Genomic DNA, 18,763 nt, shown 5'->3' on the forward strand with positions numbered 1-18,763 from the left:
TCAGTAGCCATGGGAAGAAATTACTATTTTCATCATGTTTAGAAATATATTTCAGTGTGTTTTGAAGAGTTGTAAAATTTTGAAATGGGAAAGGATTTCAGGCTGACACTTGGGAGGCAGAATGATGAACCTTACTATGGCACTAGGACTCAAAGTAGGATGAGCCCCACTAGCTGACCCCCAGGCCCGATTCTTTGCAGAGGATAGGATGTTCCCCCAACAGGCTCTGACTACACACCAACAGGCCAAGCAGATTCCAGCATCACTCGCGGTCTTCTGATCAAAGTACACATGCACCTTCCCAGGCCTCTTGGTGAGTGGCCACCCTGGGCAGTTATGCCTTACTTCAAAGAGCCGATATAGGGCTATATTCCTGAAGTGTGCCTTTCTTCCTCATTCAATGTATATTTAAATGTATTTTTAATGGTATATTCACATGGTATAAAATACTAAATGTTCCACAGGACATTTGATGAAGAGGCCCCTCCTTCTATCCCCAAGCTGACCAGAGGTAATGTGTTTTCAGTTACTTGTGTACCGTTCTGGAGATACTCCAATTAAATGGTTGGTTTTTTTTTTTTTTAATGGAGTTTTGCTCTTGTCCCCCAGGCTCCTAGAGTGCAATGGCGCTATCTCTGCTCACTGCAACCTCCACCTCCTGGGCTCAAGCAATTCTTCTGCCTCAGCCTCCCAACCAAGTAGTTGGGATTACAGGCATCCACCACCATCCTCGGCTTGTTTGTTTGTTTGTTTTTTGAGATGGAGTCTCACTCTGTCACCAGACTGGAATGCAGTGGCGCAATCTTGGCTCACTGCAACCTCCGCCTCCTGGGTTCAAGCGATTCTTCTGCCTCAGCCTCCCAAATAGCTGGGACTACAGGCGTGCACCACCAAGCCCAGCTAACTTTTGTATTTTTAGTAGAGACTGGTTTTCACCGTGTTGGTCAGGATGGTCTCGATCTCCTGACCTTGTGATCTGCCCGCCTCGGCCTCCCAAAGTGCTGGGATTATAGACGTGAGCCACCGCACCCAGCCAATTTTTGCATTTTTAGTAGAGATGGGGTTTCACCATGTTGACCGGGCTGGTTTTGAACTCCTGACCTCAAATGATCTGCCCGTCTTGGCCTCCCAAAGTCCTGGGATTACAGGCATGAGCTACCATGCCTGGCCGTAAATGCATTTTTATATTGGTTCTGTAGTCAGACTATTCTCTACTCCTAGAAATTGATATATGGGTATGTCTTAGAAGGGTGAATAAACTTAAAAATGGAGCCTGAAAGATTTGGAGAAGAATATTCTGGTAATAGGAATCATTTAACATTAAATTTGAGGCCTGAGGCAGAATATCTTCTTCTCCGAAAATCTTTAGACATAGGAGAGTCTCTCATCTTAATAGGTTAGTTTACAAGTGGTCTTTTCTTCAGTGAAGAGATGAGATGGCTTCCAAATTACATGTTTAGCCTGAAGATACAGATTTAGGAGTGATTGTTATAGTCAACTGTGAAATTACATTTCATCTTTTAAAAAAAAAAACAGGAAATATTCTGTTAATCAATTGAGCAGTTCTGTCATTTACAACTGTCTGATTTCAGTGACTGTTTATTTAGTTGCAAAATATTCAAGTCTGGCCTTGAAGCACATCTGAAGGCCAGTATTCTGAAACCCAACAGGGAGGTCTTAAAAAATTTTTTGGCCGGGTGCGGTGGCTCACGCCTGTAATCCCAGCACTTTGGGGGGCCAGGGTGGGCGGATCACAAGGTCAGGAGATTGAGACCATCCTGGCTAACACGGTGAAACCCCGTCTCTACTAAAAAATACAAAAAATTAGCCTGGCGTGGTGGCGCAAGCCTGTAGTCCCAGCTACTCGGGAGGCTGAGGCAGGAGAATGGCATGAACCTGGGAGGCAGAGGTTGCAGTGAGCCAAGATTGCACCACTGTACTCCAGCCTGGGCGACAGAGCAAGACTCTGTCTCAAAAAAAAAAAAAAAAAAAAAAAAAAATTTTTTTTTTTTTTTTTTTTAACTTTTGCCGCATCTCAGAACAAAAAGAGTTCCTTCCAAAGAAAAGGAGGGGCATCATGGCTATTTTTTCATTTCTCTATCTGCAGCTACACATGCGTGCCACCAGAGGTGCTAAGGTTACTAGGAGGGATTTGCAATCAGTTTTTTAATGTATTCCCCCAGCCTTCAGTCATAAAAGCAAATAAGTGGGAAAAAGTCACCTCCTTCAGGAACTAGTTCCAATACTACAAATTAAACTCTTACAAAAGAGTGAACATTTTTGGAAGCATGTATTATTGAAGTTGACATTTCCCAACATGGTTTTATTCAACAATTTAGATGTGTAGGGTCCAAAGACAAAGGTACTGATGAGATACTGTGGCTTCCAAAATAGAAATCTTTTGAATGATTTTATATCCTGTCTTCTCCTCCTTTGGTTGTGGCTTGGTTTATTTTAAACTATTGATAATAATTGTGTTTATTTTTAAATAATTGCACCTAAAAATAGTTTAGAATGGAGTACATTGAAATAAAGAGATTATATGTGGATATCATTATTGCATTGCTTTGTGTGTATGTGTGTGTGTCAGAGTCTCGCTCAGTCACCCAGGGTGGAGTGCATTGGAGCAATCATGGCTCACTGCAGCCTCCAACTCCTGGGCTCCAGTGATCCTCCCGCCTCAGCCTCCCCAGGAGCTAGGACTACAGGTGCTCACCACCATGGCCTGATACATCTTTTTGTTTTTTTTAGAGGACAGGGTCTCACCTTGTTGACCAGGCTGGTTTCAAACTCCTGGCTTCAAGTGATCCTCCCATCTCAGGTTCTCAAAGTGCTGGGATTACAGGTGTGAGCCGTGGTGCCTGGCCGTGTTGCTATTAGAAACTGCCCTGCAGTGAGTATATACAAGGCTGCAAAGTAAACCAAACCCAGCGAGGCAGCCATTGAATTAGTATGACTTGACCTGTATGTGTCTACTGCTTATTTGGTCCTGGTATATGCATTACAGAGGGAGCATTGGCCCTGCCCATACCTGAAGCCTACAGTTCGTCACAGGAAACAGCAGGAAAATATGGGACAGAAATGTACATGATTCATCCTTGAAAGTGTTTTTGGGGGGTAGTTTTATGGGAGGATTTGAGAATTGGTTTATAAAGAAGAATGGAAGGAGATTGCTCCTTCATTTGTAGGAAAACTTGGGCAAAGATTTGGACAGAAATGTATTTATATTCATTGAGTCACTGAGTGAATGAGAACCTGGGAGTGCAGACCTGCCCTTGAGATGCTTTTGGTTTACTGGGAGACAGGCACGCAAAACCAGAACCAAGTTCAGAATGCTGTGGGGGCCGTGGTTAGAGCAAGATTAATTCTGTGTGGTGGGGCCCAGAAGCCTTCACACATGATGTCTGAGCACCTGCCATGAACCAGCTGATGTACTAGACATTGGAGATAAAGCACAAGCCTCAGTCCTTGCTTGATGGGGTCTGGTTGTGTGTGTGTTGCTCAGGAAAGGATGCAGTCATGCGTTTCATCTTAGACATGTTGACACTGAGGGCCTTTTGCACATCTTGGGGAGATGGCAGGAATGCAGTTGGATGTGAGAGTCTGGGGCTCAGGACAGAGGCCTGGGCAGGGAGTCAGCTATGAATGGGATCCTTGAGGCTACAGGCATGATTGTGGTTTCCTAGAGAGAAGAGGGCCTAGAGCCAAGCCTGGGGAGCACTAGCACGGAGAATTCTACAAACAGGAGCACCAGCCCACTTAGAACACATTCATTACTTGACCAACATTAGGGAGCAGAAGCAGCAGAGATTGATGCACTTGCCATATGTGTATTCGTTATTATTAGGCTCTCAATCTTGTTCTTCTGAAGTCCTTTGCTCACATAAGCTTTATCCCATTAAAAGTGATTAGGCATGAAAAGAACTTGTAATGGAAGAGATTTTTAAAAATCTGATTTTATGTTGTATCACTGTTCTTCAGTAATCTGTGACATACTTGTTCCAAAACAGAGTAACTTCTTCCATCATTGCTTGATAATTAAACTGTCAGTGCTGCGTTTCCCATTTTTTCCAATCTTAATAGTGTTTTTGTCTTCCTATGGGAACTGTAGTTGTAATTCATTAATGGTAGTGGATTTGGGGCCTGCCCTTTTTGTTCTGTTTTTCTTTAGTGTGATACTAAACTCTGATAACTTAATCAGTCCTTATTCAGGAATTATATGTATGTTCTTTCATCTGTCCTTTCTTCTCTAAAATGGAAAAATGAGTATTAATTCAAAAGACCTTTCAATGCAGAGTCATTTCCTCCCTTTTGCAAATACTCCTGTGTGTTGTACATCATGACAGGGCCTAGGGAGGTACTGTTGAGCAAAGCTGATGTGGTTCAGGTCTCAGCTTGGGCTGCTATAATAAAATACCACAGACCAAGGGGCTTAAACAACAGACATTGAGTTCTCACAATTCTGGAGGCTGGCCAGCCTCAGATCAAAGTGCCAGCCAATTTGGTTCCTGGTGGAGGCTGACTCCTGGCTTGCGTTCTCCCTGGGTCCTCACATGGCCTTTCCTCAGTGCTTGGGTGTAGCGAGAGTGCTTGCAAGCTGGGGTCTCTCATACTCTTCTTATATGGGCGCTAATCCTATCGTGGGCGCCCCACCCTCACGACCTTGTCTAAACTGAATCATCCCCCAAAGACCTTACCTCCAAATACCATCAACATAAATTGGGGAGGCGGGGAGCTCATAAACATTCAGTCCATAATAGTCCATCGCCTCAAAAGTTTATAGTGTAACTAGGGGTCAGACAGAAATCACACAATCCCACAGTAAAGGGATGAGAATAGTGATAAGTGTGGCAATGGGTACAGCTTAGTTAAAGTTATAAGAAGTCATGTTTCATATTTATTGTTATTGAAAATTGCTCACCAAGTACATTAAACATCTGCCTCTTCCAGGATTTCAGCAGGTCCGTGACCCATGCTCCGGTGTCTTGACCCTACGCCTGTGTCACATGAAGGCTTTGTAGACATGCTATCAGATAGTAATTTTTTTTTTGACAGCTAAAATTTCACCTTTTTCTAAAATGAATTTCATGGTGTTCCTAGTAGTTATGTCTTTCCTGAAAACAGCATATAGTAATGAATTAATTGCTGCGTCTGGAGGCAAATTGTTTTAGCCTTTTTTAGTATTCATTCATTAAAATATAGATCATATTTAAAGGAATATTTGATGAACAATTTATTCTAAAATAACTGAATTCTGTGAACTTTCTGCAGGCAGTCTCTTAGTCATCAGTATTTATATCCTAAAATTGCCTTTTGCTTGTCACTGACTTTAGTGCATTCGTTTAGCAATAAATATTTACTGAGTGCCTGCATTGTACACAAAGCTCTGTTAGGTGCCACATAGCTATGGACTGTCTCTCCCCCAAGGAGCTTCACATTAAAATCTCAAGCAAAAAGAAGCAAAAATTGAAAAAGCCTTAACCAGCTCTCCCTTTGGGTAAATTCTAGCCTTTCTAGTCAGACAGCCTTGGCTTGATCACTTAATGCCTTTGTCAGCTTACTTGGCCTCTCTTAAGTTGCTCGTGTGTTTGTAAATTGGAGATAACTTGCATGATTGTTGCAATGAGATGCTGACGGATAGACAGATCCCATTAGACACAAAAGATGTAAAGTTTTTAATGGCAACCAATGCAGAAACTGCAGAGACCATCACACAAAGCAGAACATAATGCAATGTGATGCACCTCGGTGGAGGTCCTGCTGCCCAGGACCCAAGATTCCTCTCAGGATGTCCCACTGGTGGCACCACTAGTGTTGTTGGTTGGTTGGTGGCGGCAGGGGGGATGTTCAGCAGCTGTGAGGTGCTCCTTTGCTGCTGTCATGGAGGGGCGCATTCAGCCTTCCTCTATCCAGATTGTTCTTTAGCTCTGGCCATGTACCTGTCTGTATTACCCAGCATGCTCCTGAGTATGTGCTCTGAGATGGGTGAGGCCAAGGAAGGTGTCTGAGGAGCAGCCCTCAGCACACTGTGGTAGCAAAAGCCCACCTGGGCCACACCAGCAAAACTAGCGCCTAACTCATGGTTTTGACAATTAATGAGGTAGAGCTTTCAGCATAGTGTTTAGTGCAAAGTAAGTACTTAATATTTTAATACCATGACTACATCCTTAAATTAATTATAAATTAATACATTAATACTATTATTATTCTCAGTGAAGTAAAACATTCAACATTGGAAATAAAACATTGTTTCAGGAGCATCTTCTTTTCCAAATATGGTTATATAACATGCTTACATAACCCAATGTATTTTCTCTTTGGTCAAACATAAACCTAAGCTTTTTCTTCTAAATTTGAGAAAATAATAACAACAAATCTCTGCTGCTTCTTCGTTTTCCAGAAAAGTAAATGAATATTTTCCTAACTCCTCTCCTCCAATCAAAAATACAAAGCAAAACCCCTGCAAATAGTATAACAGAGATTTTGCTGGTATTATTTGAAAACGTTCATGCAATATAATATACTCATTCTGCTGTTAGTCACATTTCAGTATTAAAGGACTCAAATTGTTGCAGGAATAGCCAGCAGAGGTTCTACTTAACATTTTGTGTCACTGTGCTGTTGTTACTTAACTAGCTATTTTTAGTTCTAAATGTATATTGTCTTCCTAAAACAAATCGAGGCAACAAGGTGTGCCAGAAACTGGCCCTTGCTGCCACTTGGTCAGAGGTCCCCATCCTGGATTGCAGGTGCTGTTTGGCACGGCCGATGGGCAGGTGATTGTCATGGATTGCCACGGCAGAATGCTGGCCCACGTCCTCTTGCACGAGTCAGACGGTGTCCTCGGCATGTCCTGGAACTACCCGATCTTCCTGGTGGAGGACAGCAGCGAGAGCGACACGGACTCAGATGACTACGCCCCTCCCCAAGGTACTCATTGGCCCTACTTTCCTTGTCACTGACCAGAAGGACAAGGAAGGGCATCGGAGCAGAGTAGACTGATGTGGAGGAGGGAGGGTGAAGGGCCGCCACACCTACGGCACCCGGGCTTCCTGGGAAGAGTTATCAAGCTGAAATGCAAGGTAGGGCTGGCCTCATCTAGATGTGACTGTCTCCCCGCTGTTGTCCCTTTTCTCAGAATCACTGGTCGAATTGATTACACTTAATTCGCTTAGCTTTTCCTAGATATAAAGTGAGACACATGGCTCTTCCTGTGTCCCTGAGGTATTGTGGGGCTTAGCTGCTTAGTGACAATAAAGAAAGCTAAAGATGAAAAATGCTGTGCTATTATTATAACTTAATATGTGATATATCCAAATCCCCAATGTTATTAAAGCCCGCGGCTTTAGGTGCATGAGAAAAGGATTTGTTTTGCCATAATGAAGGCCAGCACCTTGGGCAGATAACTCTACATTTCTGTCTGTCCTCTTTATTTCAGGCAGAAGCTCTCCTCCTCCTCAGGTCTAAAAGACCTACTGCCTCTCTGTATACTCCAGTTGGTGTTGAGTACTCTTGGTGGGGATGACCTCAAATTCCAGCCACCTTAACCTCTAGCAGGTCCCCAGAATCAGTGTGCAGCACTGGCCCACTCAGTTGGCTCTTCACCAGCATCCCATCCCCTGCACCCATCTCTTTTAAAAAAATTGAGATACAATAATTGTACATATTCATGAGCTACATTGTGATATTTCGATACACATAATGTATAGTGATCAGATCATTTTAGTTAACATATTCATCATCTCAAACATTTATCATTTCTTTGTGTTGGGAACGTTCAATATCCTCGTTCTAGGTATTTGAAACTATATAATATGATAATATGTTATTGTTAACATGTCATCCTCCATGGTATGGAACACTAGAATTTAGCCTTCCTGCCTAGCTGTAACCATCTCGTTTTGGGGAATGGGACTGGCTTCTTGATTAGAAGTGGTCACACTGCCGCAGGCTTCTATCCTTAGCCTAGCACAGCTGTGCTTACACTGCTGTGTGCCCTTCATAGTCAAAGGGCACAGTGGGTGCTTTCTAACCTTTCCTGCCATTGTGGGGCATGTCGTCCTGTGAAGGGCTGTTCCGGGGGAAATTAGAGAAATTGTCTGCCTCCGTTAGAACCTGCAATATTCTCGTGTTGTGTTGTCTTCTCTTTCCTGTCACAGTGTGTTATGCTTCCCAGCAGCAGACACGTATGTGTGTACACACATACTCATTCATTTATTCATTTTAGGAGAAGGCATTCACACATGAAAAACAATTGAGATTAATGGTAGTGTTTTAGGACCAGTGGCTTGGGGGCTTTTTATGGGTATTCCTAGCACCCATAAAGCAATTTAGGAATTAACCATCCCCTTTCCTAATAGGATACCAGCCTTGAGAGAAGTGTTGGTCATATTTCTACAGCCTCATAATAGTAAAGTCAGTGTCTTCATCACATGGACTCAGCATACTCTTAGAACTCCTCTTTAGTGGGTCAAATCTAGATTTACTTGCCCCCATTTTATTATTGAAAAAAAAAAAAGAAAACAAGGGACTGGGCACGGTGGCTCAGGCCTGTAATCCTAGCACTTTGGGAGGCCGAGGCGGGTGGATCATGAGGTCAGGAGATCGAGACCATCCTGGCTAACACGCTGAAATCCCGTCTCTACTAAAAATACAAAAGAAAAAAAAAATTAGCCAAGCATGGTGGTGGGCACCTGTAATCCCAGCTACTCCGGAGGCTGAGGCAGGAGAATGGCTTGAACCCGGGAGGCGGAGCCTGCAGTGAGCCAAGATCGCGCCACTGCATTCCAGCCTGGGCAACAGAGCAAGTCTCCGTTTCAAAAAAAGAAAAAGGAAAAAACAGAAAAGAAAAGAAAGGAAAAAAAAACAGGACTCAGAGACCAAGTTTATAAAGCAAGTCCAGAGTAAATCCAAGAACAGAATTCAGTCCCTGGTTGCTCCTCCAGGCAGTTGCCCTTCTCAGAAGCAGGGGGGGCAGTTTAGAGGATGACAGGTGTTCACCTTTCACGTGCAACAGGGTTCTTCTTAGTGGCCTAGGGAATTTGAGTGTGGAGGTCGGTATAGTGCAGTGTCATGATGTAAAGCAAAGCAATAACTGGGCTTCCTCTGCAGACAACTGGCAGGTAGGCCCACCTCGATGGCTGCTAAGATGAGCCCAGTGTGGCTGTGAAGCCTACAGGAGCCTTCTGAAAACGTTGCTCTATCTAGGCATCTAGGAAGGGCTTACTTTTGCTTTTTCAAACACCCTGTGAAAGACCAAGTCCATGGTCCATCATGGCCCCTTCCTTAATGTCTGCATGAGGCTCCAGAGCAGGGTTTTCCTTATGCCGGCTGTGCTCCGCAGGTGCAGCAAGCCTCTATGAGCCACATTTAGCCCAACCTTCTCTCCAAATCTGGGCTGGCCTCTGTGGCTGCTTATTTCCTGTAACATTCAATGAAAGAGGATTTAGAAAGAGGATTTGGAACTTGAAAAGCAACTTTTTTCTCTCTTAGACCAGAATTAAGAAAATGTTTTTATCCCTCCTCCTACCATCCTTGGATGTTGTATGACATTAAAATAATTTATGTCTATATGTCATTAGAACCGTGTAACACATTAACATCAAGTTAGTAAACTTTCACACATATTCTCACCACTCACCAATTGCCCCCAGGGCTATGTCCCTAGTGTCCTGCTTCTTACTCACAAATTCTCTGTTAGTGCCCACTGATGGCCCTTGTGTAGTTCCTGAATGATATAGAATGTTTCATTCAGGTAGCATCCCAATCCAGAGTAGGATCTGCATTGTCAGGCAATTTCTAAGGCACCATGCAAGATTTCAGCTTTGGGAACCTGGATTTGGGTGGTGTGCTTCCCTCCTTTTCACTTGGCACTTGTGTTCCTGCAGATGGTCCGGCAGCATATCCCATCCCAGTGCAGAACATCAAGCCTCTGCTCACCGTCAGCTTCACCTCGGGAGACATCAGCTTAATGAACAACTACGATGACTTGTCTCCCACGGTCATCCGCTCAGGGCTGAAAGGTACAGAATGCTGCACACACCCCAAACCTGCAGACCGGGCCTGTGTGTGCTTGCCTCAAGGCCGGTCTTGTACACTCTGTGCTTACTGATTCCTGTCCTCTGTGGTGACACCTTCTGGGCTTCATGGAGTCTGTTAACTAAAGCCACTCCCTCTTCACTCCTTTGCTTATCTGATAAGTCCATACCTAGTCTTATCTCAAAGGGAGATTCCTGACATTCAGTCTTTGTCTTAGCCTGCTCTTTTCCTCACTATGACAAGAATGATCCTCTCTCAGGTGTACAGGTATGTTTGCATCTGGCTTACGCATGTCTGCACAATAAACGGACTGCAGCACCTGCCATCCCTAAGGCAGCAGATGGTGCACAAGACATCATTTACACAGAAGCCCCTGTAATTTTAAGAATCTGACAGTCTTATTAAGGAACTGATCATCACTGTGCGATAAAGTTACCTTGAAAGACTTGTGGAGGTTCTGCAATTACTAGACTGAGGCATTGTTGTGAAGGGCAGCAGTCAAGTGCTGATACCTTCCTGATAGATATTATGAGTGTTGTTATCTCAAAAGAAAATCAGTGGGCATAGGCATTTGGAGTGTTGTGAATTTTGCAGTTCAAGAGTACTGTTGATGTTGTTGACCCCATTGATGTGAGTTCTATGGAAAAACAATCTGTCTCTTCAGGGTTGAATGGTACAAGGTAAAAAGGTTTTAAAATTCAATACCTGGGCTGCCTCTGACCCTTGATGTTTAAGGGACCTCCTGTAATCTGAATGAGGATATAGGAGACAAGCCAGGAACTTTGGTGTAACTCGCTGCTGTCATTCAAAACTGGCCATTGGTCTAGGGAGTCATTACCGTGCGCTACTGCTGCTTGCCTGAATTATTCAGCAGTCACAGGGATGTAAAGAATCAAGTCTAGGCTGGGTGCGGTGGCTCATGCCTGTAATCCCGGCACTTTGGGAGGCCAAGGCAGGTGGATCACAAGGTCAGCAGTTCGAGACCAGCCTGGCAAACATGGTGAAACCCCATCTCTACTAAAAATACAAAAATTAGCTAAACACAAAAAATTAGCCGGGCGTGGTGGCGGGCGCCTGTAGTCCCAGCTACTCGGGAGGCTGAGGCAGGAGAATGGCATGAACCCGAGAGGCAGAGCTTGCAGTAAGCCGAGATCACGCCACTGCACTCCAGCCTGGGTGACAGAGCGAGACTCTGTCTCACAAAAAAAAAAAAAAAAAAAAAAAAGCCGGGCACGGTAGCTCACGCCTGTAATCCCAGCACTTTGGGAGGCCGAGGCGGGCAGATCACGAGGTCAGGAGTTCAAGATCAGCCTGGCCAACATCGTGAAACCTCGTCTGTATTAAAAATACACAAATTAGCTGGGCGTGGTAGCAGGTGCCTGTAATCCCAGCTACTCGGGAGGCTGAGGCAGGAGAATTGCTTGAACCTGGGAGGCGGAGGTTACAGTGAGCTGAGATCAAGCCACTGCACTCTAGCCTGGATGACAGAGCAGGACTCTGTCTCGGAAAAAAAAAAAAAAAAGCCAGGTGTGGTGGCGTGTGCCTATAGTCCCAGCTACTTGGGAGGCTGAGGCAGGAGAATCGCTTGAACCTGGGAGGCGGAGGTTGCAGTGAGCCAAGACCGCACCACTGCATTCCGGCCTGGGCAACAGAGGGAGACTCCGTCTCAAAAAAAAAAAGAATCAAGTCTATATACTTAACTGTTGGTTGGCAAGAATCATACCTGCCTCTGCACCGCCCCCCCCCAAGTAATTACTCTATTTTTAAACTATAGAATATTTTTAGAAACATATTACATACCCTCTTTTGGGCATCCCAATCTACTGTCTCAGGACTGTAATTATAAGGAATTACTTAGGCTGTAAAGTCCTGAGGGACATGAATGACGTTGAAGTCCTTTTTATCACACATAGGCCCTGGTAGGAGTTGAGTACATATTTTTTGTGGTGATGATGAACTTAAATTCCTGTGCTTGTCTGTAAATTTTTTTCTGAATGTTCTGTCTTTCATGGAGCTAAAACACAGGATGATCAACATTAATTCCTAATGTATTTATAATCCATGCTTAACTTTTTTCTTCAAAATTCTATTTTTAAACCTTTAAACCAAGTTTATTAATTTTTTGAGAACCTGCCTCTAGTTCAGGAATCCAGAACTTGGTTTCTCTACCAAATATCTGGTGAAGGCTGAACATAATATAATTACCACTCAGTTCCTTTTTATTCTTTACGGGGGAATTTTTCCAGTTTTTTACCACCCTGCTTATGGAAACTTTATTTTTTATGCCTTGAATATGCCCAAGGTATTGGAGCAACAGTTCTCTCTTTTTTTTTTTTTTGAGATGGAGTTTTGCTCTTGTTGCCCAGGCTGGAGTGCGGTGGCACGATCTTGGCTCACTGAGTCTTCTGCCTCCCAGTTTCAAGTGATTCTCCTGTCTCAGCCTCCCTAGTAGCTGGGATTACAGGCGCATGCCACCACGCCTGGCTAATTTTGGTATTTTTGGTAGAGATGGGGTTTCATCGTATTGGTCAGGCTGGTCTCGAACTTCTGACCTCAGGTGATCCACCCGCCTGGGCCTCCCGAAGTGCTGGGATTACAGGCGTGAGCCACCATACCCATCCTGGAGCAGCACTTCTAACGTTTTGCAACCATATGTGCAATATAGGTAGAAGGATATGTTAGGTAAGTTGGGGAGGTGACCCAAAGTAGCCCTCCCAAATGTGAAATTTTTTTCCTTGAGTTTTCTTCTAAAAATACAGGCAAATTTAACATTTTTTTTTTTTTTTTTTTTTTTTTTTTTTGAGACGGAGTCTCGCTCTGTTGCCCAGGCCGGACTGCGGACTGCAATGGCGCAATCTCGGCTCACTGCAAGCTCCGCTTCCTGGGTTCACGCCATTCTCCTGCCTCAGCCTCCCGAGTAGCTGGGACTACAGGCGCCCGCCACCGCGCCCGGCTAATTTTTTGTATTTTTAGTAGAGACGGGGTTTCACCTTGTTAGCCAGGATGGTCTCGATCTCCTGACCTCGTGATCCACCCGCCTCGGCCTCCCAAAGTGCTGGGATTACAGGCGTGAGCCACCGCGCCCGGCCAAATTTAACATTTTAATTATTACCTAACTAGATATCTAAATCTAACCTAAAAATGTTTTCAGTTATTTACAGGATGCTTTCAGCGGGGTACGGTGGCTCACGCCTGTAATCCCAGCACTTTGGGAGGCTGAGGCAGGTGAATCACCTGAGGTCAGGAGTTCGAGACCAGCCTGGCCAACATGGCCAAACCTTGTCTCTACTGAAAGTACAAAAATTAGCCAGGCGTGGTGGTGCATGCCTGTAATCCCAGCTACTTGGGAGGCTGAGGCAGGAGAATCACTTGAACCCGGGAGGCAGAGGTTGCAATGAGCTGAGATTGCGCCATTGCACTCTAGCCTGGGTAACAGAGCAAGACTCCGTCTCAAAAAAAAAAAAAAAATTATTTGCAGGATGCTTTTGTTCTGTGTCTTCCTAGTTTCAGAAAGTTAGATTAAATCGAAATGAGCTGGTGCCATCAAGTAGGTGCTGTAAGGACAGAGAAAAAGCTTCCCTTCTGTCCTCTCTGAAGGTTCCCTGAAATGACTGACAGTAGACAGATTAACAGGAGAAAAGGCATAGAAATGTATTAATGTGAATAAGCATAGGACCCACATAAAATAAGAGACTCAAAGAAAGGCCACATGGTTGAAGTTTTTATACCCTTTCCATGGAAAGGAGGGAAATGGGGAGGTGGGTAGGCAATCATGATTAGTAGTAAGTGATTTCTAGGGGAAATGAATGGATCCAGGAGGTAGACGTTACCTTGTTAATAATTCTTAGGAACTGAACAGGACTTGTAAGTTATGGGAAGGTGAGGGGTAGAACTCTTACTGTGACCAAAGGTTTCGACAACTTTTATTCTCTTCTCTGGTGGTTAAGTCTTTCCTGGTTATTTGGGGAAAGCAGGAGATCAGAAAGTCCCTGGCTCTGAAGCAGCTTCTAAGGCATGCTTGTCCAGCTTGCAGCCTGTGGGCCACATGCAGCCCAGGACAGCTTTGAATGTGGCCCAACACAAATTTGTAAACTTTCTGAAAACATTATGAGATTTTTTGTTTGTTTAAGCTCATCAGCTCTTGTTAGTATTCATGTATTTATGTGGCCCAAGACAATTCTTCTTCTTCCAGTGTGGCCCAAGGAAGCCAAAAGATTGGACACCTCTGTTCTAAGGCCTTCCAGTTGTCTTTAATTCAAAATGCTCAGGCCGGGCACGATGGCTCACGCCTGTAATCCCAGCACTTTGGGAGGCTGCGGTGGGTGTATCACAAGGTCAGGAGTTCGAGACTAGCCTGGCCAATATGGTGAAACCTCATCTCTACTAAAAAACAACAAAAATTAGCCAGGCATGGTGGCGTGTGCGTGTAATCCCAGCTACGTGGGAGGCCGAGGTGGGAGAATTGCTTGAACCTGGGAGGTGGAGGTTACAGTGAGCTGAGATCACGCCACTGCACTCCAGCCTGGGCGACAGAGCAAGACTCCATCTCAAAAAAAAAAAAAAAAATGTTCAGTGTACCAAAACACCATACTTGGGATCTCGTTCTCTGTGCCCCGACAGTGCTATATGTAGGCAATTTACCTTTTCTCTCTTGGGATCAGAATGTTTTAAGGACTTAGCCTTTACATGTGGTATGAATAGCAATCATTTTTGTTTTGTAACTTATTTTTTTATCCACTATCTTACGGGCTATGTTGGTAAATACTGGGATGAGACAACCAGAATACTGTTGGAGACGGCACATGGCAATGTTTTTAGCCTGGGGTCATCTGTTCTATTACAGACAGGTCAGCCACTTGTCTCATAGAGGAAATTAAAAAGGTCTCCGATCCACTTGGTTTTTCTCTATTACTGTCTCAGAGGAACATCACTAAAGAACTTTGGCAGCGAAGGAAGGTAACTCGCACTATTGTTTTAGTGTATCACCAGCACTGGAATTTACGACCTGTGCAAAAGAACCTAGAATTCCACATAGCTCTTGGTCCCTGCCCAGGCCTCTTCTGCATCAGCCAGCACACTTCATTTTCACTGCAGATGTGTCTGTGGGCTCAAAGGCCGGGTTCTGGGGAGGGTTAGGCTCTGATTTTGCTTGGCCGTGGTTTGCTGAGGAAGTTCTGCCTTCTTCAGATTCTCTTCCTTCAGAACAGGGACTTCTCTTCATCACGCAATAAGCAGGGAATTGATTCACTTTGCTTGGGGTTTTTACCCATTGTTATGACTTCTACTCTTTTCCTGAGTAGAAATAATTCAATCAGGAGTTCAGGAATTTTCTGCCCAAGCCAGTTCATCCCTCAGTGGCAAAGCAGACTCCCAGAGGCACTCATTTCATCCCACACTTGCCTTGAAATTAAAAGCTCCAACCCCTGAGCTTTGTTTGTGTTTTTTGTTTTGCAGAATTTTCTCTTTTTGTCATTTCATTAAGCACACTGAAAAAATGAGGAGGGAATTTTTGAGGCAGGTGGTTTCAGTCATTGATGCCATCTGCTCCTGTGGGCAGACCTGATAAGATTTGCCCACGTCGTCCTCATTGAGTACGTGCCCCTTTTTTTCAGTCCTTGCAGTGAAACATACTTCTTAAAGGAAAAAAAAATGTACCTGTTATTTTATCATCACACACTTTGCTAATTAATTAGTTGCTCTTTCCTCCACCCCCCACTGCTCCACATGCACGTGTGTATGCACATACACAACATGCATGTCTAATGACTAATAAAGAGGTGAATCATGCACATGGTAATCTAAGGGACAAAGAACTGGATAACTTCAGACTCCAAACAGTAGCTGCAATATATATGGTGCTTGATAAGCACTCCTTTCTTTTTCTGTTAAAATTTAGCTGCCTCTTTTTGACCCAGTAATACCACACAAAGGGCTTCTTGTTAATACAAAAGAACTAAATTTTCACTGACTTCATATAACCTTCCAGACTTTTACCAAAAAGGATCCATAAGATTTTCTGGCTAAAAGAGAATAGTGTAGGTGTGCTGAATTTTTTTGTGTAAAACATATCAGAGACCGAAAACCCACACCCCCCAAAATCATTGAGAAGAAACATAGATGCTTCCAGAGTACGGACCTCTTGTGTGCTCTAGAACTCCCCATTGCCTGTGAGGGTGAGATTAGAGACTCTGGGCCACGAGCTTTAGGAAAAGGGAAAAGAGGCCTACTGAGTAGAGCATTAGTTTGTTCCTTTTAGGTTGTATTCTGAAACAAATTTAAAAATAGGAGATTCAAACAAAATTATTACTCAAGTCTTGGGCAAAGATACTGGGGATTATTTTTTAAATAAGACAGACATCATTTACAAAAAGTTTCTGAAACAAAAAAGTTCTGTCCTGACTATATCTAGGCTTCTGTATCCTTCTCTTCTTTATCATAATGACATGTAGAAATTGAATGAGTATTTTCTTTTACTTTGATTTTCCCACTAATTTCTGAAAATTTTAAACTCTTGCCCTAGGAATTCAACTCCTGCAGAAAACTCACATACTCCTGGCTGACACTGAACAATTCAGGGTTATTCTTTCTTAGTCCCACTGCTGAATTCTTCATGCTAGTACTTTATGAGATAGCCTGTGTCCCTGGTCGCGGCTGTGCCTGTCATGTGGCTCAGGACTGCTTTATGCTAAATCATCAGAGGCACTCACATACGTTGCTATATCGCTTGATGCATGTAGCTCCATAATCGTTGGAACAAGAAATGGCATTATTTACATGGAATTTAATCTTTTTTGAAAGAGTGATTCGCCTTTGCAGATGACAGTCATCTCATTATAACTTTGCACCTGCATTAGAAGAAGTCCTGGCCGGGCGCGGTGGCTCACGCCTGTAATCTCAGCACTTTGTGAGGCCGAGGCGGGTGGATCACATGAGGTCGGGAAGTTGAGACCAGCCTGACCAACATGGAGAAAACCCGTCTCTACTGAAAATACAAAATTAGCTGGGCATGGTGGCGCATGCCTGTAATCCCAGCTACTCAGGAAGCTGAGGCAGGAGAATCGCTTGAACCCAGGAGGCGGAGGTTGCAGTGAGCCGAGATCGCGCCATTGTACTCCAGCCTGGGCAACAAGAGTGAAACTCTGTCTCAAAAAAAAAAAAAGAAGTCCCTGAGAGTTTGCTTGTAAACATTTGGATTCATTCTTGCCTCAGATAGATAGCCCATCTCGTAGACAGAGCCTGGGAGTGCCCCAGGTTGCTTGCTGAGTCCCTGAGCAGTTTCCGAAAGCATCATAGGTCAGCTCTGCAGGGGCAACAACCCACTTTTCTGTTGGGGAAAGCCACCTTGCAATACAATTCAAAAAAATATTATTTTAAAAATAAATACAAGAATGGTGCAGTTCAGGTGAGGAGCTGTGGAAATTTCATGTCGTCATCTTTATTTCTACAATATTACAATGATGCTTCTGTCCTAAGAAGCTTGAGACACCGTCATCTTTGTTACTACTATGACTGTTTATGTTAGTGCCTCACCTTTTGGTTTCCTTGTGTGCCCAAAGCTGCTCTCCAGAGAACGTCATCTCAGTTTCCTGATCACAAGCAGGCTTTTCCCTGAGATAGATCCAGGCATTGAATGCCCAGAGCACATTTAGTATGTGCACGAATCCTCTAGCTTCCCCTCGCATTTGTAAAAGAATCTGATTCACCAGGATGTTTTTGGTTCTTTTATGTAATTTTTCATTTCCTGATTGTGGCAGGTTTTTTTCCATTTTCTATTCATCTGTAACTGCTTTGGCTCAGCCCTTTGTCTCCCTACTTTCTGCCCTGCAGCTAACTTCATGAGAAAGTCCCGTGTTCCCTGGGTCTGGAAACCTGTCTTGTCCCAGGAGACACACTCTAGTTTTCAAGAGACGTGAAAGAGCTTCAGCAACCTCAGAATGTTCTGGTGGCAGCATCAAAATCATGACCATGCATGAATAAGGGGTATTGTCATGTGTGTGCTGATAGAGCCCGGGGACCACTGAATTCTAGCCCCATCTCTGAAATATGTGCCCATCAGGGCAGAGCATTTTCTTTTAAGTTCCGCCCAGCTTCTCTGCAAAGTGGGCCACTTTAGTTCTAGATTTCAGAGATCTCTGTATAAACCAGATTACGATTTTAGGGTCTTGAAGGAGAAAAAAAAAATGTCATAAATCTTATTAATACTAATGGCTTTTGTTTTACCAGCAAGAAATAAGTAAATTGCTCTCATTGGGATAAGATAAACCTTTTAATAACCATTTCTTATAGGCACTGAGTAGTTTGTAGGTGGGCATCGAATTTCCAATGTGGAAATTATGCTGAAAAAACTGTCTCCCAGCAGGGGTATTTATTTTCTTTTCTAAGCCCCACAACATCATCAAATGACAAGAGTCAGCATTCTCATATGCATGTGTGTCCTTTGTATGAACCTTATCTGCCCAGTAGTGCCCAGAAATCAAATGAATATAAACTAAGACTTTGTTTTCGATGTGCTTTTTACTTTTGGCATTTATAAACTCTCTGAGTCATCCCTGGGAGTGGAGGCCACAGCAGTGGGACCAGTACTTATATGAATATACAGTCATAGGTTTTATTGTCTTGCTGTCTCTTAAAAAAAAAAAAAAGGAAGTTCTACAAGTCTCATGGAAATACTGGAATTGGAGATACATATTTAACATGCTAACTTTATTAGATCATGATTTCTACC

General features: G+C 43.7%; 1 protein-coding gene across 14 annotated transcripts in view; it reads left to right on the top strand.

Moving 5' to 3' along the window:
- TULP4 (TUB like protein 4) overlaps positions 1 to 18,763 on the top strand; it is a 279,634-nt gene that overhangs the window by 210,052 nt on the left and 50,819 nt on the right. For all 14 annotated transcript variants that reach the window (XM_047419082.1, XM_047419087.1, XM_047419084.1 and 11 more), the window contains 2 exons: positions 6,750 to 6,930; positions 9,888 to 10,022. In XM_047419082.1, coding sequence (XP_047275038.1) covers positions 6,750 to 6,930; positions 9,888 to 10,022 — 316 coding nt within the window. The remainder of the gene's footprint in view (positions 1 to 6,749; positions 6,931 to 9,887; positions 10,023 to 18,763) is intronic.

Source organism: Homo sapiens, chromosome 6, assembly GCF_000001405.40.
Source record: "Homo sapiens chromosome 6, GRCh38.p14 Primary Assembly".
Classification (NCBI taxonomy): Eukaryota; Metazoa; Chordata; class Mammalia; order Primates; family Hominidae; genus Homo; species Homo sapiens.